The sequence below is a fragment of the Homo sapiens genome, chromosome 6, assembly GCF_000001405.40.
Source record: "Homo sapiens chromosome 6, GRCh38.p14 Primary Assembly".
In the NCBI taxonomy this organism is placed as follows: Eukaryota; Metazoa; Chordata; class Mammalia; order Primates; family Hominidae; genus Homo; species Homo sapiens.
In genome coordinates this window covers 80,443,620-80,467,094 of record NC_000006.12, presented here as the reverse complement: position 1 = coordinate 80,467,094, position 23,475 = coordinate 80,443,620, and the positions used below count along the sequence as shown (strand labels likewise).

Here is a 23,475-nt window from a genome sequence, read left to right as displayed (position 1 = left end):
CCTTATTGGTAGGGAAAATTACATTTTAATGGGAAGTGAATATGTTACATAGAAAAATTATGAAACAAATCTGACTCTAAAATGCCCCAACCTTTAAAATTTGAGCAAGACCCTTTTAAAACACAGCCAAAAGAAAAATTGTTTCTTGGTTCATTAGTTGATAAGTCAATTCGAAGCACATAAATAAACACATTTCTGAAGCTGACCCCAGATAGGGAATTCAAATTTCCATAGCTACATTGAGTTCATCAGGGAGATAAAAAGGCTTTTAGAGATGTTTCTGGCAAAATATCATTTCTGGAGTCTAATTTTTTCACCGAAGATAGGTTTTCTATGAAGAAGCAATTTAATAATAAAATGAAGGAATGGCGACTCCCTTGGAGTAGGTCCCTGAGAAGTAGATTTGACAGGAATGAAGTCTTGTTTTTTCCAGCTTTATTGGGGAATGGTTGACAAATAAAAATGGTATGTATTCAAAGCATACAATGTGATGTTTTGATATATGTCTATGTTGTGAAATGATTACCATAATCAAGCTAATTAACGTTAATCACCTAACATAGTTATATATATATTGTGTGTGTGTATAGTGAGAAAATTTTAAATCTACTCTCTTAGAAAACTTCAAATGTATAATATATTTTTATTAACTATAGGCAAGGTGTCAGCATTTACTTACCTCTTATGGCAATGTCTAAAAATCCCTAACTCCCAAATCTGACATGCTCTTTCTCACAAAATTTCAAATGCCTACATGTCTTATTTCTACAATCTTCCAAAAATTTTTTGTTAATAATGTACGTAAATAAGAGAAATAGAAAGTGTAACATAAATATATGTGTAAGTATAATATAGGGAAATATGGGGTATACATATAATATACCTAAAGATGAGAAAAATACATGACTTCCTCCTGGAACTTCTCTCCTGCTTTGTGACAGAAAGCAGAAATTACCTGGTAGGAACTTAAGACATTTTACAAGATGTCAGCACTGGACTGAAGGTCCAAGACATCAACTTAAGTACCTCTGAGATTCTTCTATCAAAAGTAGATAATTACGACAAATTAATACATTTCATATCCTTTTAAAACTCTCCTTTGATGTTCTTCCTGGTTCTTTCCATTTTGCCAGCAGTTCCAACCACAGTGGCTTGTAATGTGAGGTCACATCACAGGAGGCAATGGAGACACAAAGCATCTACCCTTCATAATCTCCCAGTGAAAGCTTCTGTGTCCATCCAATGTGTCTGGGTATTTGCAAAACTGTACTTGGTTTATTGTTTTCCTTATTTCCTCTCCTACTTCCCTATCGGCAAGCAGCACTTCCCACACAAATGTAGCAGCAAACTGAAAAGCAAACAGATTTATTTATTTTATTCAAACTCTTGCTAAATGTGCAATTTGTGCCAGAGAGTATCCTCACCACTACTGAGAGATTGCTAATATGTTTACATGATGTGCTTTGCCTACGGGTGGAAGGAGGGATGGAATCAGAGATAACTCTGAAGTTCTGATGTTTCAACCTAAGTTAATACAAGCATTCATGTCTCCATGAAGAGAAATGACAAAAATCAGAGAAGGAAAATGTTTTGACAGAACAGTATTAGAAAATTTGATTTTAGACTTGTGCTGTGGTTGAGTTGCCAGCATATTTTCCTGGTATACAACATTCAGACATTTTGACCAGTTGTACTATAGTTTGGAAAGCTGTGAGATTTGTGACAGAAAATGGTGTAAAAAGAGAAATAAATCAGATGTACGAGGTGGAAGTATGTCTGTATGGATTCATATGCCCCTTCTGAGTTTCTCAGGTTTACCTGTTTCAATTTTCAGCAGCTTACTTCACTTCCACTACCAATGCAGGGCTATGCAGTCAGCCTTTTAAAACTAACCACTTTAAGCCCACAGTCTCTGACTCCTCTCATCTCTTCTACATTTGGGGAAATGCCACCACAGGGAGTGCATCTGGCTTCCCAGGAGGCTGCTAAAGGAGCTGAATGACCCAAACTGGAATGCAAGGTAGTTAACACTCTCTGGTGCTATCTTGGCCAAAGAGAGGCAGGGAAAAAAACCTGGGCAGCTCAATTTCCTCTGTCTTACTTTCTCCAATCAGCCTGCATAAAGAAGTCCTGTATGACTGAGTGTAGGCACCTACCAAATAACAGTAGGTGCTCTTTGCCCTGCTTTGTGAAGAAGCCAATGGAGGGGTAATGCTTCACCTTTCTTGGCTGCACCACTTACCTTTTCTCTTGTTCTCACTCTCCTGGGATTTAACTCCCAATAAAGCACTAGCACTTAATTCTTACCTGAGGCTCTATCTTCACTATCCTAGAATACAGAAACTAAGATGTACTGCAAATGTGGAAGAGCAGTATAATGAATATTGTGGCCTTTCTTCTGAGGTGAAATTTAATGGTTATGTTGGAAGAATAGTATGAAAGAAGTGTGAGGAATAAAGGGCAAGCAGTCTCCTTTCAACTGTTCAGTGAATGGCCTCCATTGGGCAAGACTGAGGAGAGGAATTTTTATTAGATATTAAGGTTTTCTTTTCAGATAAGGCAATTGAGCAATTATTCATAGAAATTCTAAGGAAGTTACTAATTTAAAATTTTATTTCACAAATAATAATTAGTAGAGCTAAGTGAATCACTAAAGATTTAAAGATGAGGCTGGGTGCAGTGGCTCACACCTGCAATCCCAGCACTTTGGGAGGCCGAGGTGGGTGGATCATGAGCTAAGGAGTTCAACACCAGCCTGACAAATATGGTGAAACCCCATCTCTACTAAAAATACAAAAAAATTAGCCGGGCGTGGTGACACATGCCTGTGGTCCCAGTACTCAGGAGGCCGAGGCAGGAGAATCACTTGAACCCAGGAGACAGAGGTTGCAGTGAGCCAAGATCGCGCCACTGCACTCCAGCCTGGGTGACAGAGTGAGACTCCACTTCAAAAGAATAATAATAATAATAAAGATTTAAAGATGAGAGAGACTCAATGCACTTGTAATCTGTGTTTGATGCAGGCAGACTCGGTCGGGTAGAAAGTGGGAGGGCACCTAACTAAGACTGGAGTGGTGGTGGAAAACCAGAGACTGTGCTTTGAAGGATATAGGAGTTATTCAAAGAAAGTAGGGAAGGTAGGAGGAATGAGCCCAAGGGAATGCTGGACACAATATTTCAGACATAGGGAACAGCAGATGGACAAGGCCCAAAACTTACTAACTGCATGCCTTTGTGTACATCACTTTACCTGTCTGAGTTTCATTATTCCCATATGTAAAGTGAGGAAGATAATACTGTAGTGTGACGAGGCCAGGAAAATTAAATGAGACAATATGTGTTCAATGTTATGGCATATAATAGATGCTTATGGGTGGTAGCTGTTTTTCTTTTAAGCCTTGAACATAGCCAAACCACTTTCTTTCTATTAGTTATGGATAGGAACTTTAAACAAACAACAAGGGCTAAGAAATCCCAGAACCTTTCAAATTTTGGAAAAAAAAAAGTATATTGAAAATCAAAATATTAGAAGCTCAAAACCTCAGAGAATCTAATCAAAGGCATTTCTCTATCTTTTAAACTCCTCACTTCTTTGCTTTGAGATAAATTTCACTCTCATATGTTGGTTTCCTCCACATCTACCTTATAAGGACAACAGTTTGTGTGTGAGCCTGTTTGAAGTCTACCAAGTCATAAGAATCAAACATACTTTTCATTGCCAAAGAAAAATATGTAGCCAAACCCTAACACAGCTTGAACTCACATGGAGTATCCTTTAAATTCTGAGAAATTTTTCAATTTGGCTAGAAAAACTAGTACCCCTTCAAAATTCAATACTTACCAAAAAGAAAAATCCAGCAAAACAAGTCTCTTTTCACTTTGCACATAAGAATTAAACAAAATGTCTATTTAATAACAAAACCACAATTCATAACAGATAATTCGAAATATGTTTGCACTTACTTAAAGCTTACAAATAAATCTAATTTAGGGAAACATGCAATTTTTAGCTCCTCACTTACTCATCCTTCTTTTTTGTTTAAATTGCAGGTGGGTGTCATTCCAAGCACTCTGAACTGTCCTGTGGAATTCAGAAAGTTCAGCTCTGCTCTGTGTTTGACAAGCTCCATTTTTCATGCGATGGCAGAAGACTGGAGACCTGAGGATATGTTCATGGTGGCTTGCTCCCAGTGCATCACAATCTGGAGAGGCCTCCGGCAGAACTATAGACAAATAATTTCAAGCTTCATTTGGAAGAAGAAAATCTATGGAAATATCAAGTCCTCTTGGCACTCTGTAACCACTGACAACCTTGATTTGATTCCCACAAATTCATGGAGCATCAGGTCCAACATTCTGGATTCTACTTGAATTCCCAAAAGCCATGAATGTGGAATTAAGTATTTCCCTGGCTTCAGAGATTATGGGGGCCATAATGCCTTCAAGAACCATAAAAGTTCTCTCTCATACTCACTTAGAAGGGCACGGAGAAGACTCCTGAAACACTGGCTATGTGCTTTCAGGGCCCAGTTTGTGGCTACTGTAACCTAAAATTAATTGTCTATTATCTCTCTATCATTCCCATGTCTGGATGTGAGCTGAAGGCACATCAGCTAAGAAAAGTTGCCCAGAAATCCTCATCTGATGCTTAGTGACTCTGAAATAATGCACGATATTTGAAGCATCTTCTTCTTCTTGGGTTATAATTCCACAATTAATTAGTTAATTCTAAAACATATCTGTTGAGTGCCTACCATGTACCAACTATTGAGAAAGACATTAGGGATATGATGTTGAAAAGATATAGCTCATGCCCTCAAATAACTCTTGAAGGAGAAAGATAAGTAAATAGGCATTGAAAATATTTTTTCATAAGTATCATGAAATATAAATGCATCAGATCTCATAGAAGTAACAAGAAAGAACTCCTAACTTAGGCCTAGAATTGAAAAGAGACAATATGTGTTTAATGCTACAGTATATGCTTAAAGGTAATAGTTGTTTTTCTTTTATGCCTTGAAAATAGTCAAACCACTTTTTATTTTTTATGGATAGGAACATGAAATAAACAGAAAGGGCTAGGAAAATCCAGTACCTTTATACATTTGAAAAAAAAAGTACATTGGTAATCAAAATATAAGAAGTTCAAAATCTCCAAGCATTTGATTAAAGGCAGTTCTTCTCTGTCTTTTAAACTCCTCATTTCTTTGCTTCATTTTCAGGTAAATTTTGCTGTCATCTGTTGGTTTTCTCCACATTTACATCATAAGGACAACTGTTTGTGTATTAGAAGCCAGACAAACAATGAGACCAACAAAGAGATTATTCCAGGAAGAAGGAAGGGCATAGGCAAAGACCCAGAGGAAAAACAGAAAATGGCTCATTGAACAATTTCAAGTATTTTAATATGGCCATAGGGTAGAGTACAAGAGGAAAGATGGAAAACACTAAAGCTAGAGAGATTAAAAAATAAAAAGAAATCAGAGCATCCAGGACTTCTTTACTTGCTTACAAGTTTGACTTTATGATTAGGATGATAGCAAATTTGGGGAGAGTTTTCATCAGGTGAAAGAAATGATCAGATGTCTATTTTGTAACACTTTGTAAAACTCTGAAGCATAGAGAAAAGAGTCAGGGAAAACCAGTTAGGAGTCTAAGGCAGTGATCAAGAAACAGACAATGGGAGCCTGAACTGAGACACTGACAATGAATATGACCAGATATGGATAAGATGAGAGAGGATTAGAATATAGACACAGTCTTGGATATTGATTATTTGTGGGAAAAAATGAAGGTGGACTCAAGAATGGTTTTTGAATGAGGCAACTAGGTGGTAGCATTTATGGAAACAGGAAGAATAGGAGAAGCAGGGCAGAACATAATGGGTTCAGTTTGGACACATTAAATGTGGGATACCAGAAGAACATCCAAGTAAAAAAATCTAGTGAGGTGTTGGAAATAGAGATTTTGATCTCAGAATATAATTGATTTTTAAATTCTTTATCCCATATGTAGTAGTTGATCTCATAAATAGATTACGTCACCAAGAGACTATGCGTTTAGTGTTTAATTCTAACAAGATCACGACAAAATCTCAGCAAGACCAACTATTAAGAGATTGGTCAAGAGCCATCATAAGGTAGAGTGGAGAATCTCTTTGAGAGTGAGGAATCTCAGATGCCAAGGAAGAGTTCAGCTCTGCTGAAGAGTTTCACAGAGAAGGAAGACTTTCACAGAGAAGAGTTCAGTCAACAATGTCAAAGTTTGCAGAGCAGTCAAGAAAGATAAGGTCTAAAAAGTGTCCACTTAACTCAGTGTAATTTCAAGCCAAGATCAGTCTTGTTCCAAAAGTATTAACTCAGCAGAGTTTTGAGTCACTGTGGGATAGAGCTCATCAGGTTTTTACAATAGTAACAAATGCTTCATGTCTCTTATTATTCATAACTGAAATATACCACTAAGTCAGGGAGCTCCAAGTCTCTTCAACTTCAATGTTTTGAGGATAAACCTAAAAACTGAACTTTTCCTGAACAAAAAGGGCTTGGGCTATTTTTGTTTTGCTTCCTTTATCAAGTTGTGAGCCAATGCTTGGGCATTCTTTACTCAGAGATGTAATAAATTTATTCACTGTTTAGGGTGGGGTATTCCAGACAGCTTTCCTGCTGTGTGCCCTTAAAGTGAAGGTCAAATAGAGTTCACTGGGAAATGTAAAGCAAGTGCCTCTGCATTAGTATTTGTTTTGTTCAGCAATATCCATTTATAATTAAGAAAAGTTTTCTCCACGTTTATTCCTAAAGGATATCATGGACAATTTTATTATTGTCTTAAATACATTATCTTTGATTTGGAGTTGTGCAAGACATGCTCAGTATTACTTGTGATATCTCAATTGGAAAAATAAAATTTGTTTTTTCCAGAAAGTTCAAAGGTTCTTGCTGTTAAATATTGCTTCATCATTTAGATATATCTTGAAGACTTAAAAATGTATATTTAGTAAGGATATTTCTTACATCTTTTCTAATATGGAAGCCATTGGGGTAAAATCAATACTCTCATAGCTCAATAAGGAACAATCCTCAAAAACTATGGAAGTACATGAAGAAAGTATCTTCTGCCAACCTTTTTTACTGAAATTCCAGTTCTATTGACAGTAGATGATCTTTATCTATTTGGGATGGCTTTGGAAATGGCTTATGGATCCAAGATGTCATAATGAATTGGAATAACTCAGATCATCGAGTAATTCCATGCAGTTACATAAGCTTGACATTCAACCTTTGGAAGAGTCAGTAAGAACCTCAGTTACATATTTGGAAATAAAAGTGATGGAACAATTCTATTTCCATAAAATTCTCAGGTTGCCAACTTTCCACAAGGTGAAGCATTAACAATAGGCCAATGAGAGTGTACCAAATACTTCTATTTAATTTTAATTTAAGGTTTTAAAAAATTATTAATGTGGTAAAAACATTTAATATAATATCTACCCTCAACACAATTTTAAGCATACAGTACATTGTTGATGATAAGTACAACGTTGTACAGCAGATCTCTAGATTCATCTTGCTTGCCTGAAGCTTTATGCCTGATAATTAGTAATTCCCTATTTACCTCCACCACCAGTCCTTGGTAACCACCATTGCTTTCTTTGATTCTATGGATTTGACTATTTTAGATACTTCATATGAGTGGAATCATGCAGTCTTTGTATTTCGGTGGCTGGTTTATTTATTTTGCTAAATGTTCTCAAGGTTCATGCATATTATTGCATCTTAAAGAATTTCCTTCTTGTTAAAGGCTGAATGGTATTATATTATGTGTATATACCACATTTTCTTTATCTACTCATTTGTCAATGGACTTTTGGATAGTTTCCACATCTTGGCTACTGTGAATGGTGCTGCAGTGAACACAGGAGTGCTAATATCTCTTTGAAATACTAATTTCAATTCTTTTGGATAAATACCCAGAAGTGAGATCACTGGATCCTATGGTAGTTCTATTTTTTATTTTTTGAGAATCCTCCATACTGTTTTCTATAGTGGCTGCACCACTTTGCATTCCCATCAACATTGCACAACGGTTCCAATTTCTCCACATCCTCAACAGCACTTATTATATTTTGTGGGTTTTTTAAAATAATAGTCATCCTGACAAGTGTGACTAATATCTCATTATAATTATAATTTGCATTTTCCTGATGATTAGTGACACTGATATTTAGCTTAGTTTTGTTCATGACAGTTAGGTGATTTTTTTACTTTTTTTCTCACAGTGAACTACATAGAAATTCAGGTCAACATTAGAAACAAATTAATATATGAATATAAGTCTCAGTCACCCCATCCCTCAATGTCCACATGTAATCAAACACTATTAGTAATAATAACTATCATTTATTGATTACTATAGTTACCTGGCTAAGCACTTGACATTAATTATCTCATTTAACTCTAACCACAACTCCATGAGGGATTTCTATTACACATGCTTGATACATGAAGCACCTGAGGCTTAAAGAGGTTAAGTGGTGTCACACGTATTCACTGAGTTTGTATGTGGCCTAGACAGGAATCCGTTTCGAATCTCTGACTTCAGAGTCCAAGATCTAAACCACCATACACACTGTCTGCCTTCACAGAGCTCCTGCTGCTTCTTCCATCCACTAAACAATAACTGGAAAAATTAAGACATTCATACACGTGGACAAATTCACATAAAATGCCCAGCCTCTGTCATGTGCCCAGATTCCCACAAACACTTTTTCTTTAAAACTTGATTCTGGCTATTTGTTTGACCCAGGAGGTGAAATTAGGTTACTGCAGACTGATTTATTATGCATTTCTTCTCTCCAAGAATAAGTGAAGCCTTCCTTTGATCTGCAGAAATTGTGCAGAAAAAATTAAGATGACTGGCAAAATAGTCCTTCCTTCAACACTCCTGGCTTTTCTACAAGAGTTTGCCCCATTCAGTTTTTCAACAAGCCTTTCTAAGGCTTCATTGAACTCAACCTATAACTGGGTTCTGTGATAGACACAAAAGAGAATAGTTCCCTGCTTTTAATGAAGGTAGTAGCTTATATAGGAAGACAGTTAACTTACGTGAAATCTATGTCTATATACAAGCTTCAGCTAATGCACTCCAAAATACACAAGTGCTGAGAATAGCAGAAAAAGGAGAAAAATTGCCCATATTTCCAGATATACAAACCCTTTGTTTCTCATCTTAAGACGCAGACGAAAGGGGAAACATTTGTCTTTGATTTCCTGGCCACTGGCACTTTTGAGTCTTTGCAATTTGTGAGGTTTCTATACACTAGGAAGCCATAAGAGGGCCACAAATAGGATGAGTATGTTAGCAACAAGTAAACCAAGGTAAGCATCTTTGTCTGACTTCCCGGTAGATGAGACAGGTCTCAGCCTTCAGCAGTTTTATGCTTTCCTGCAGGACTCTACACAATTGTACATCAGTTCAAGCAATTGCATTAGCACAAGAGTGCTGAGCTGTTCCAAAGAGAATGAGTGAGCCAATAGCTATAGCTGGCAGCCAATGAAGGGAAAATGTGCTCTGAACACTCAGTGACTCACCCAAACAGACAGGAGGGAGTGTGTGCCAATTTAGCCTGGACACACTGCCAGAGCTCACACACTCAGCAGGGTCAGGATTTGCAGAGGAGGTGAGTTCTGCTGCAATCCAAGAAAGTCAAGCAATAGCTGCAGGGGACTAGAAGGGTGGCATTTTTCTGCTGGTGTCAGCATTAAATTCCCATACTTCAAGGGTCCAGGGACTTGCCTCTAAAGAAAGCATAAGTCTGAAAGGCAGCAGAGGTGGCTGACCATTGAAAGTCCTACTCACGTGTGCCAAGCTCACACCAGGTATGCCATGTTCAGTAGTTCTAGTTGCAAGTCACATTCCAGCTGAGGTTACTTCCTATTTCATTTTCTTATGTAATTTAAAATGCCACCAAATTTATCTGTATGCTTCTTGTTTACTCTCTAGCTACTTATCGGAAAAAGGAGTGTGTCACATAAGTTCACAATATAAGTGGTTGTGTTCAGAAATCTGTTTATGATGAAGAAGTCTAATTGATTTATTATTTAAAAAAACAGTTTATTGTGGCCAACATGAAAACAAAACAGAAATGTGTTTGGCTGTCAATACAGCATAATGAACTCATATTTTCCTCCATGAGAAGGCAGAAGGATCAAGACGGAAGATGTACTAGTCCTAAGAAGGGAAGAATCCTTTTTTTCTCTGAAACACATGTATGAGAATGCATTTACACTATAGCTTTCAGGCTTTTGAGCATAAGAATCCCTCAAGGAGCTTATTAAGAATGCAGTAAGAATCCTCATAGATTGTGATCCAGTAAGATTCTGCACTTTCAACAAGTACCCAAAGTGATGCTGTCTTACAGTACATTGAGCCACTTAGCAAGTGGCATTTAAGGGACAACTGGCAGGACCTTCAGGCTAAATATTATCTTCATACTTAAATGCTTAGCTGCTTTACTTTGAATCTTGAAGGCTTTTTTGTTTTCTGGTAAGTGATGGAGAAGCGGAAAGGAGTGCTACACATGCTTTACACCTTTGTAAGATAAACTTTTACCGGGGATTAAGTGGCAACCAGCTAACAACAATAGACAGAAATCTGGGAGCTAGGAAAGGAAGTGTGAATGATGGGGCAGGTGAGAGACACCCCCAAAGCTTTGTCAGAGCCACAGCCTCTTACCTGAGCAGGGAAGTACCTTGGATTTTGTTGTTGCAATTGTTCTTTTATTCAACGTATGGACATCCGATATCTACTTTGTGAAAAGCACTATGTGTTGTTGTTTTAGGGTTTTTGTTGGCGGTAGTTTTTTTTCTTTCTTTCTTTTTTTGAGATGGAGTTTCGCTCTTGTTCCTCTGGCTGGAGTGCAGTGGTGCAATCTCGGCTCACTGCAACCTCCGCCTCCAGGGTTCAAGAGATTCTTCCACCTCAGCCTCCCGAGTAGCTGGGACTACAGGCGCCCATCACCACCCCAGACTAATTTTTGTATTTTTAGTAGAGATGGGGTTTCACCATATTGGCTAGGCTGGTCTCAAACTCCTGATCCACCCACCTCAGCCTCCCAAAGTGCTGGGATTACAGGCATGAGCCACCGCGCCCAGCGAAGGTTTGTTATTTAAAAGAACGGTTACTGAGTCCCAGCTGCCCCTGAGGTAGTACTCAGCATGCCTGCTCTCCAACGTCAATGGTCTTCTTTTTAGCTTGCCTTCTTGACCTGCTACTTTGTTTGGGGTGTGAAAGACAAGACACCTAAAATGTGGTTGGAAATGTGATAAGAGATAGCTAAATGTTTGTTAAAACATTAAGGATTTTAAGAATTGCAGAAGGGGAGATTTATGTGGGATTGAAAACATGCAGAGAGGGAAGGGATCCGGTCCTGTAGGGGATATCCCATTGCATAGGTGCATGTCTTGTGGAGTTAGCTAGTGAGAAATTTCTCCGTTGACGGGTACTGAAATAACAGTGAAGAAAAGAAATATCTAGTATGCTATTTTTACTGCATGGTATAAAGGAGTCTAAGCCCTACAAGACTTCAGCATAGTCTGCTACTATGAATGCCTTACATGAGCCATATTATCAGGAAAATCCAAGAACAGTAGTAGTTTTCAAGTCAGGTAGGTTCAAAGCTGAGATAAGGTAAAGTCTTGAGGAGATGCGACATGTGTGAGATTCAGGACCAACAGGAAATGGTAATGAGGGTAACTATGAAAAGGAGACTGTAAACCTTCCAGAATTTGTAGAAATCTTGGAGGGAGGCCCTGAATTTCCCAGAAGATGTGAGATTTTATTTATGTTTCAGTAGGTGTGGTAACCTAGGCTGACAACTTAAATACACAAAAGAATGTAAAATATCTTTACATCTCTACACTTCCTCTCTCACTTCCCACACATATGTCTTGGTCTTTAAGGATATTACTCATGGGAGCATGAGATACATTCACAATGTTAAACGCAGGATGCTTCTATATGCAGGAAATAAATGGGAGAGGAGGCCGGAATGGTCTCTGTGTAAAATAGGAAATATGAGGCAAGACATTTTCCAGCAGAAGTGATTAGACAGGATTCATAGACAACATGAGGTCAAAGCTCAATTCTAAAGAATAATTAGAATCAGAATAGTGTGTTGAAATTGATAGGCAAATGTATGGGCGGGAAAGTTCAAACCACAATGGAGAGTCATTAAGAAGGACAAGTTGGGCATAAACAAGAAAGGACAAGCCAGGGCTAGACTGCAGAACGTAAAAGTCAACTTTGGAGGACCTAGTCTGACAGTGTAGGGAGGGGCTCCTGATTCTGTGTGGTCTTGCCTACAAATTCATACACATATTTTTCAGATCTTCTGGGCCTTCATCTCCTTGGGACCCATCTGGAAAGATAGTTATAGCATCCAATGCCTTGCAAACAATACTCAGCTCTATCCAGGTCTCTATGGAAGATCAGAGGCCATGAGGTCTGCAGCTCTGACTATTTAAGAGATGTATCAAGACTCAGCTCATTACCTCCACAATATTTCATGCCTGAGAATCCCACAGCTTCATTACTCAGAAAGTGTAGATCCTCAAGAGTGTAGTGGGTCATGCATATGAGCAGCAGCACTTTCCAGCTCAGCAAGTTCACATACCTCAGTAGTGTGTGGCCAATCTGTCAAGCCACCAAGTAAAAAACAAGTGTGACTAATTGTGGTTGGAAAGAACAATGACCCAGAAACACCCTTTGTGGAAGAACCAGTGCTGATTGTGAAGTTTTGCTCTCAAGAGACAGTGTGTATTTCTAGTCGACTCATTGTGCCTATTTTTCTAGGGACCATGTGCTAATTACCTGTAGCTCTGCTTCTCAAAATTACATCTGTGCTTGCAGAACTGGTCTTTCCCTTCTTATGTTCACAGTGTTGGCCTCTGGGACTCCCTCTGCATCCAATTCTGATTTCAAAGCCACCCTTCAAAAAGTTAAAGTGAAATTGGGTCAGGTAGAGTGTATGAGCATATTCCTTTAAGAATCCATACCATAGCATGTGAGCCCAAATGCTCATGTCACAGGGCTCAACATTAAAAGAAGAAGAAATATAAGCAGAGCCTTTCTCAGGGTTCTGCTTGTGGAAAAACAAGGCAGCAGTGTGAAGCAGAGTGAAGAACCACTTATTCTAGGCAGTATTAGAAGAAGAGAATGAAAATGGAGGGGAGAAGGAAATACAAGAAACTTGCCGAATACCTAACTCTCTAAATAAAGCAGGAAGAACAGGAAGAGATCAGGAAAATAATGCACTATAATCCTCAGCACTTTGGGAACTTGCAACCTCCCCAGAGCTGAGGGTGTTCACAGGATTCCCCCATCGCACACCCGACACTACTCCTTTTTATCTATCATGCCCCATCAAACCTCACCAACACAGTGTCTCATTTCCTCAGGGCTTTATGCAAATATAATATCATAAACAGTCAAAATAGATACAGGGGACATAATATCTCCTTGCTCAGAGTTAGGCAGGCTATCCAACAAAATTGTTCTATATTTTCAGGAGGCCCAGACACATAGGACCACACTGTGGTATGTGTATGAACTGTTTTTCACATTGTGGTCCTATATGTCTGGTCATTAATGCCATGCCCTAAATATCTCTAATTTTTCCCCTTGGGCAGAAGGGAAATTGCATTTCCCTCTCCTTGAAAGGTCCTGTGTTTTTCCCTGCCCCTTGAAGTGGCTTTGTGATTTGCTTTGACTATGAAATGTGAGAAGTGACATGTAGCACTTCTAGGCAGGGGCTTTAAGTGCCTGTGGATAACTTACCATCTTCTCTTTGCTGCTTCAGTCACAGTAGAGCATTTCATTGGCCGGAAATTTCATTGACTGGAGGCCGTGGGCAACTATAATGAGCAGAGCCCCCAGTTCCCGCTTAACCACGTTGGAAATGAAGCATGAAAAAGAAATAAACCTTTATTATTTTCATCCACCAAAATTTTGGGAGTTATTTGTTCCTACAGGATAACTTGGCCTGTCCATACTGATATATATTCATATGCATTATAATAGTGATTTTCTGAAAACAGCAACTAAATGCACGTGATTTTTATCTATGCATGTTTCTCTTGTGGGAAGGAATGTAATTCGTGGCAGACAAGAAGACGGCACTAACTGTAGAAGAAAAGATAGTTTGTTGCATGCTAAGAAGTATTAGGTTGTACAAAGTCATTTGCTCCTAAATCCTCCCAGATAGCTCTGTTTCCTGAGATTTTATTTATCCTTGATTTAGTTATTCTTAAGACTTCTTTTGCTGTTGACTCTTCCTCCTTCATTTTGTTACTGTTTGCCTCCAGTGTGCTCCATGCCCACCACAACCTACAACATTCTGCTTCTAATCTGCCTCTTAGAATTGTGAGTAAATTAAGAGCAATTAAATTTTGAATGAAGAACTAAAGAATGCTTCTGTGAGTACAAAAGTTAAACTGTCACACACACAGACTCTTTAAAATAATAATAAAATAAACATTTCATAATCCTTTCTGGTATATTATGCATTTTTACATTAGTGATTTTTTTTCTCCTTTAAGCTCTGTGGGACTTGATAGTGATCATTTTTTATTCTTATATCCCCTGCATCTACATTGACTGTTTAGATATTATGTTTGCATAATGCTATACTCATGTCTCCATTTCTGTTATGAAGGTTACCAGATAATGGCAATCGTGATAGCTTGCATAATTTTTCTCAAGTATTTGTTCTTCCCTTCCCTGTAAGAAAACATTGATTCCCTGCCTTTGCCATGTGATTTGCAGGGCCTCCTATTGGAATATACATCTCTACCCCACTGAAATCGGGCTTGGTCCTACGACACACTATAGCCAATGGAACATGGGCAGATGTGATGTAAACCATGTATACAAGATCTAAGTGACATCATCATATTCCACCTCTCTCTTGCTCTCTCCCCTCTGCCACCAGACTGTACCATATTGTGACCACTCCAGCAACCTGGGGTTCAGAAGAAGACACATGGAGCAGAACTGAAAAGGAGCCAGCAGTCATAGCCAATTCATAGCTAAAGACTGTAATATAAGAAAGGAATAGATGTTTGTTTCAATTCACTGAGATTTGGGGATTATTTGACATCACAGATATTGGTTATTTTACCAAGGCTTTGACTGGAATGGCATATTTTCAGATATGACCAGATTGAGGGGTTGAGATTGACTGTATAGAGCCAATAAAAAAGCCCCTTGAAAAGACTGGCCCAGGACCTTGTCTAAATGGTTTCCTTACAAGGTTTCTGACCTGTGATACTGTGATAAATAATGTCACTTTCTTTTTTTTTTTTTTCTTTTGAGACAGAGTCTCACTCTGTCACCCAGGCTGGAGTATAGTGGTGTGATCTCCGCTCATTGCAACCTCCGCTTCCCAGGTTGAAGTGATTCTCATGCCTCAGTAGCTGGGATTACAGGCACCTGCCACCATGCCCGACTAATTTTTGTATTTTTTAGTAGAAATGGGTTTTGCCATGTTGGCCAGGCTGGTTTCGAACTCTCGGCCTCAAGTGGTCCACCCGCCTAGGCCTCCCAAAGTACTGGGGTTACAGCCTCTTTGCCTAGCCAAGAATGCCACTTTCTAGTGGGCCCAGAAACCTCAAGATATTTTGGGACCTCAAGAAGAGCAAAATTTGTATAGATATTACAAGCACAGTCTAATGGTGAATGCTTGGCTTGGCTTCTGGCCTCAAAGCTTTTAAAAAGTTGAATTAGAAATTCCTTATAAAAGTTCCAGTAAAACCAATTTAAAAAGAGCCTATACGCTGATCACCACTTTTTATATGCTTTATGCAAATAACCAGGCCAAATATAATGAGACCAAAATTTATTTTGCAAATAAATTGGTCCTACTATGATTTATTCTTGGTAGAAATGAGGAAACCGGGGAAAGAAAACTTTAGTTTCTAGCCCTGAGCATTGTTTTGAATTTTGTTATTTGCCTACAATTTGGGCTAATCCTGAATTATTTCCTGGCTACAAGAAGTCTCTAAAAAATAACCAGGTTTTATTTTTCCTCATGACGTCTTTAGTTGACTTCTTATGGAATAGATTATTTTTATTATTGTTGTGGCATACAAATTCTCTTTTGACTGTAATATTTGTGTGCATTATATTTCTACTATTTAAATTATTAATGTTATGTATCTCATTGTTTTACTTTTTCTGAGAAAATGGAAGTCATTGTATTCTGAAGACTAGAGATGATTACCCTGTGAATCTACCCCGTTTGGAATCCCACTGGGCCTGTTGTTTTTCATTGCCAGTGTGTTGCTGCTAAAGCTACAACATATTAAACACCGTTCCTAAAAGCTCAGGGACCATCATGGAAGAGGAAGGTGCATGAGATTGTAACAGCTGGATTAGAAGGGTGAAGTGTGAAGGCCAAAAAAATTTCACCTTGGGTGCTAATCTGCCATATTGGCTTCCGATTAACCCAAATTACGGGAGTGCCTCTGAGATTTCTAGTTTATCTATTGTCCTTTGTGTAAGAGCACCTATATACCAAAACTCTTGCCCTTAAATGCAAATTCCTATCCCCTTCCTCTGAAGCACAAGCGCCCCTCCCCTAAAGTATATAATCTGGGGTCTGGTGGGTAATGGTGCTAGGATCCACGATCTTGTCTCACTACTGGCCAAGACACAGACATAGCTTCTGTTCATAAACCCCCATTAAATGTTTCTTTCTAAGAAAAAAAGTAAAGAAAAGAAAAGCTGATTAATACACTCAAAGCAGGATATCACTAAAAAGCAATATTCTTATTTTTGAAAGTACTTTTACTTTTACACTTCATTTTAGGAAGGGCTGGGAGTAATGGAAGCATGAGCTTTGGCATCAAGTAGACCTGTCTCTTTATGAGCTGCTTCATCTTGACAAACATAAAACACCCTCCCAATAGCACTTTTTCCTCTGCAGCTCTTTCAGAGGCCATTTTTTCTTCATACTCCACTCAGAACCCTGTTAACCAACTTGGGACCAAGAAGACTATTGACTGCAATTATTTGAATATAATATCATATGAAAGTCCATGAGTTCATTATAATATTCCACAAAAAGGAAATCCAAAAATAAACTCATTAGTCACCATTGAGATTGCTCTGGCAGCAACTTCCTATTGGAAACTAACGTTAAAAAAAGAAGAAGAAAAAAAAGCTAAATGCTTAAATATTTCAATATGAACTCTATGAACTGTTTTTTAGTAAAAAACAAATAGAACTTGTTGATGACAGAACATTATTGTCATATGATCATATGGATTAATGGCTAGTTATAAAAGGGGAAATACATCTTGACACTGGAAGATCAGGCTGTCCACATCACCATCTCTAAGAGTGGGACAACCAGACATGATGACCCTCGATATGATGTAATTTGAAGTTCACACAACATCTATAAAGGGTTTTTGTCAGAAAAGATTAACTTGAGTCTAATCAAGTCTTTAGATCTAACTTTAAATTTATAGGAAATATGGAGAATAGAGAACAAGTTAACGTCTCCTCGACATAACCTTGCCTCATTTTTATGTATTAATTACTATTCTTATTTATTTTTACTTACTTGAGAATTTATTTTTATTATCCATGTTCTCTGTGGAATATAAGCTCCAACAGCACAAGGCCTTGTACTGACGAGCCAACACTCCTTTCTCACAGTCTATTATCACGTTTGGAACATACTAGGTTTTCAACACAAATGTATTAAATGAACAAATGAATAACAAGTTATTTTAACCTCACCAAACTTGTTTACAAGTTAGGAAGTAATCATCTGTCTTCAAAGTTTAGGGCATTCTACAGTAAAATCAATTTCGTTTCTTCAACCAGCACATAGCATGGGAAAAAGAAAGAGAGGAGGAATCTGTTCTAGATTAAAAGAATCTGAAGCAACTTAACAGTCAAATGCAAAGTATTGATTATGGGATCCTGATTCAAGCAAACATTAGAAAGGCATTTTTTCTGTGATAACTGGGGAAATTTGAGGATTAGGTACTAATTGATACAAGAAATTACTACTGATTTTGTTAGGAATAATAATCAGGTTGCAAGTATGAAAGAAAATGTTCTCACATTTTGTTTCCTAGTTTCCACTTTTATTTTAAATTCAGGGGGTACATGTGCAGGTTTGTTACATGGGTATTTTGCGTGACATTGAGGTTTGGGGTACAAATGATCCCATCATGCAGGTAATGAGCATAGTACCCAATAGGTAGTTTTTCAGCCCTGTGTATTTTGGTGTGAAATTTCATGGCATCAAGGATATCTCTTTAAAATACTTCAGCACAGACAGATGTGATAGGTGAAGCAAATACAGAAACATGTTGATAATTATTCAATATGATGAAAGATATTTGGGATTCATTTTATTTCTTCCACTTTTGTGTGTGTTGAAATTTTTACAGGATATAAATTTATTAATACAATAAAAAATTATCTGTGAATTATCCTTTTTTCCCCCTTGTCCCACAAGTGATTCTGTTGACCCTCACCTCCTACATGAGTCCTGGATCCTTCCAATTTGCTCTATCTCTGTCATTGCCATCCTGGCCCCAACCACCGTTAGCTCTCTCCTGATGTACTGAGCAACCTCCTGATTGGTCCCCTTGCTTTCTCTCCTCTTCCCTAAAATATATTCTTCACATAGCATCCAAAAACTTAATCAGACAATGTCACTTCCTTCTTAAAAATCTTTCAAAGGCTTCACTCAGTATAAAAATCCTAAAACCTATCTCTGGTTTATAAGATCTGGTCCCTGCCTTACTTCATCTTCCACCACTTTTCCTGTGTCCACATCATTCCAGCTACACTACCCTAAATTGCATTCCTCCAACATACAAAAGTCTTCCAGTCTCAGGGACTTTGCTATCATCCTTCCTTCCTGGCTTGATGCTGGTGTGTCTGTACCACTCAGTCATCTACTTAAAGGTATCTCTTCAGATATACCACCCAGTCACATAATCCCAGCACCTCCGTTTAACTCTCTGCATAGTACCTACCATGATATGATCTATTTTTGTCTTATTTTTATTAATTTTACTTCTATGTTTATTTATTTTTACTATCCATCTATTACCATGTTTGGCACATAGTAAGGGTTCAAAACAAATGTGTTAAATGAATAAATAAATGAACAAGTTATTTTAACTCACCAAACTTGTTTCCATGTCTGTAAAATGGCATGACAATACTTGTCTGAGAGGGTTAAATGAGGTATTGAACAGAGAGTGCCTAGTCCAGTTCTTGTTGCACTGAAGATGTTTAATAAATGGCATCTATTTATGGCTGAGCAAAAGAAGTCAGACTTCCCCCACTCCCAAAAAAGAATACATAGTGTATAATTCTATTTACACAAATTCTAGAAAATGTAAGATAATCCAATGTGACAGAAAGTAATCCATGGATTCCTTGGGACAAAAGGGTTAGGCAGGAGAGCTAGGCATAAGAAATTTAGGGACATGATGAATATGCTCATTATCTTAATTGTGGTGATGCTTTGTTAACTATAATGTGTATATATCTACATTGTGGTTATATATATATAAATAGTATATATAAACTGTATATATGTATATATATATATATAACTGTATATATTTGTCAAGAATTTCAAATTGTACACCTCTAACGTGCAGTTTATTGCATGCTTATCATGCATTATTGCATTTATTGCATGCTTGTATACTCAAAGCTGTTTTTAAAAAGGCAAAATACAAAAAAAGGTAGCAAAAAATAAATAGTATCCACTTCTTTCACATACATCATGCATCTGATCCTCACAGTAACAGTATATAATAAGGCAGGAATTATTGCCCTCATTTGGCAGATAAGAAAATGGTGGCACAAAAGGGCCAGGAAGATGATTCTGGATTGGACTTTCAACTGTACTACACAGTTCATCATATCCAGAAAAAAACTAGTTTTTATTATTTAGCACTTAAAAATATCCTCGCCCAAGGTCCCAAGCTTCATCACTCTTGCTGATAGAGCAGGAGCATTGCCATCTTGGACAAGCACTGCCATTTTAAAGTTCACCTTGATTAAAAACTGCCTAAAAACTGCCTAAATCCAGAGGGCATTAGCCTAATGTCTAAGGTCAGCTTGACCATAAAGCACAAATGACATCTCCAACCAGAAACATTCCAACCATAAGATAAACCCCTCCTCGACCACAGACATTCCAACCATGCAATAAACTTCACTTCCACACAGAAACATTACAAGCCTGTGATAAATTTTCCCACCCAGATCCGCTAAATACTCTTAGTCTGTAAGAGAGAATGCTCCTGACCAAAAAAAAAAAAAAAAAAAAAAATTGTCCAGAAGCCCCTCTCAGGTTTATTCTCCAAAATAAACCTGTCTTTGACTGTTGAACCACTTTTCGTGTTTCTTTCCTCTTTCTTTAACTCTTACACTTGCCCCTTCCTCCCACTCTGTACCTGCTTATTACTGGAGTAGGAGGTAATGGGCCTTCTGAGACTGGGCAGGCTGCCCCTCATTACCGAGTTCGTGCTCCATGCTCCAAGGGCCCAGCTGAGTCCTGACTATTGGACTGAGCAGTTCTCCTAAGTGGAGCAGGTCTGCTGTCTTTGTGCCAACATGCAGCTTTATAAACACGTGAAACCATGTAAAATGTGTTCTGTACCTTCTCAAGAAGGGATGTGCTGGAGCAGTCCAATTATCCCACTACATCAGACAATGCCCACGTGCCTGGCTGTAGAACTAACCACTCTCATGCGTACACAGTTTTAAATATGAGCAGTTAAGTCAACTTCTCTGGCAGTTGTATAACTAATGATCCATCTAAACTGCTTTAATCTCTATGGATAGTGATCCTTTAACTTACACTGGATTTGACAATCACTTATCATGCCACTAATTCCGGAAATTATTTTCACTCCTAGAGCACCTTAGCTTTTTGTTGTAATTACAGCCAATAAGGCCTATAGCCAATGAAATTTTACATAATCCATTTTTCCAAACAAATCTCATTCCTTGGCTCTCTGTATACCTTACACATCAGCTGTATTGTACTGCTCCCTGTTTCCTGAACATTCTCCTGAGCATTTGATTTTCCAGACCTTTGCTCCCTTGAGTAATCCAGCACAGAGATGGCCTATGGTATTTATTTATTCACTTATGTGCACCTACTAGGTCCTAACAGTTAAACCTAACAGTTTAACATGGCAGGTTTGCTGGGGGAATAATAAAATGAATGTGTATAAAATTTTAAAGAGTATATTTTGTCAAAGGAAAATGAAATATTAATATGTTTCATTTTGTGGACCTCCTCTCGACATCTCTAAATGTTGCCAGGAGCAGATAAGGGTAGGTTCAAGGCTCATTCTATAGTCTCTGCTATTAAGATGTATCTGCTACAAGTCTCTGCATCTTATGATACTTTAGGTATATTCTCCTTAAAATCAGCCACACCAGGTTACGCATTCTATGGAGTGTTGAAATATCCTTAAAATAATAATAGATACAGATATATTTACAGTTGTGATTAGTTCTCCTGACCTCTGCCTTGTAAGTCATTCTTCCTGGCTTCTTTCAATTGAGTCTCACTCAGCTGTGGGAACCAGCACTCACCAACAGTCTTACCCTGGCTTGTAAGTGAATCCTTGTGGGTCTTTTCCTTTAGAAAAGAAAACTGATAGCAAAAACAAACCCAGATCTATCTGAAGCAATGGTTTGATATATTTTTTGATGATGTACAGGTAGTTAAATATTTAACCTTGGCACATAGAGGATAAAAAAATGAGTACAAAATTTCTTCAGTCCTGTATACTGAAAGCACAAGAGTTCCTTGTCCTACTAACTGCAAAGTCAATGGGATGTGCCAGGCAAAGGGGTGAACACTGTAGCCCAGTCAGAAAGATAGAGCCAAACAGGATAAGAATCATTTTTAGTGCCAAGGTAGATATAAACAAGAGGCAAGGAAGTGTTTGCCTCATACTAAGGGTGGATAATACTTTCAAATGTACCTTACAGTTTAGAAGACTCAAAAGATTGTTTTAGGCAATTCATTTCTATAGACAGCCACAACCTTGAGAATTTGAGGCCATCTCATTCTCTTAAAAAATTCTGTATCAGGAAGGAAAGAAAAATGTAGGTAGTGTTAATAATTGTTCATATTTGTTAGGTTATATTGCAACATAAGAATATGCACTAACATTTCTGAAACAAAAATTGAGACATGATTTGACAAGTATAACTGTGTTTATGTAAATAATAAAACACAAAATTTGACGATATTATTTACTCTCAGAAAAACTAGGTGTTATGGTGGCCATATCTATATGCAAGACATTTTAAAAATTGTTTGTAAATGCACATATGCAGTAGGCATTTAGTAATAAGTTGTTGAATTCAATTCAGCTCATCAGTCAGTAAGCAGTTATTGTGCACCTGCTGGGATGAAGACACTATATGCAATTTCACACGAATTTAACAGTTGCGTGCTTTTGACTAATATAAGAGATGAGTTATTAGAAAATACTTTGACTATATTAAAATCATTTTAAATAGACTTAAATCTTTATTTTTTGTCATCTGTGTCTGCTATTATTATGTTGATAATGTTAGGCAAACCAGAACTACAGGTTAAATTATTTTAATAAGTATCAAGAATTATATTCCTGGCATGGCGTAACATGTTTACATTAGCCTCTTAAAAGTTTCATTTTTATCTTTCTATTTCTCTTCCATTCTTCCTTCCCCATAGATTCCAAAGCAATTTTCTTAAATATTAATTTTATATTAATCTCCTATTTTAAACTCTTCCGTGACTTCCAAACATCTACAAGTCAAAGTCCGTTTTTAAATCTTGGCATACAAGTTTCTTCACAATCTGGCTGCCACTTAACCTTCCTGAAATCATTTTCCTCCATTTCAACTCCTCTCCCCACAAAAACACTATTTTCTAGCTAACTAAAAATTGTAGCTTTTAAAGATTTTGTAATTAGGTCACCAATTTACCCATATCATAATCTAGAGAGTAGTGAAATATGTAATTTCTTTACTTTGACTTCTAATACTAGATAGAGGGGAAAAATAAGTTTTAAATTTTAAACTTGGTTCAATCAGTGTTATGTAACTAAGTCTTGGCTTAGATGACTCCAGTAGACACGTTCATCTTTCAGATATCTGAACATATGGGATCTTATACAACTATCTGTTAGATGGACCCTCAGTAAACTCACATTAACTATCACATGGACACTCAATGCAATTTGTGGTGAATAGCCTGTAATCCCAGCATTTTGGGAGTATGCAGCAGGAGGATTCCTTAAGCCGGGAGTTTGAAACTAGCCTGGGCAACATGATGAGACCCCATTCCTACAGTTAAAAAATATATAAATAAATAAATGAAATTTGTGGTGAAAAAGTAAAAGGCTAAAGTATAGAAAACTT

General features: G+C 37.5%; 1 protein-coding gene across 2 annotated transcripts in view; it reads right to left on the bottom strand.

Annotated features, from left to right (window-relative positions):
• Positions 419-23,475, bottom strand: part of BCKDHB (branched chain keto acid dehydrogenase E1 subunit beta) — a 360,067-nt gene continuing 337,010 nt past the window's right edge. The window contains exons 10-11 of one of the 2 annotated variants that reach the window (XR_001743546.3): positions 4,023-4,223; positions 419-1,348 (exon numbers count right to left, since the gene is read on the bottom strand). Coding sequence is in view for 1 of the 2 variants with exons in the window: in NM_001424037.1 (NP_001410966.1) it covers positions 4,134-4,223 (90 nt within the window). In the remaining variant the exon portion in view is untranslated. Of the gene's footprint in view, positions 1,349-3,871; positions 4,224-23,475 lie in introns of those variants that run through there. The other variant, NM_001424037.1, reaches the window with a different exon arrangement.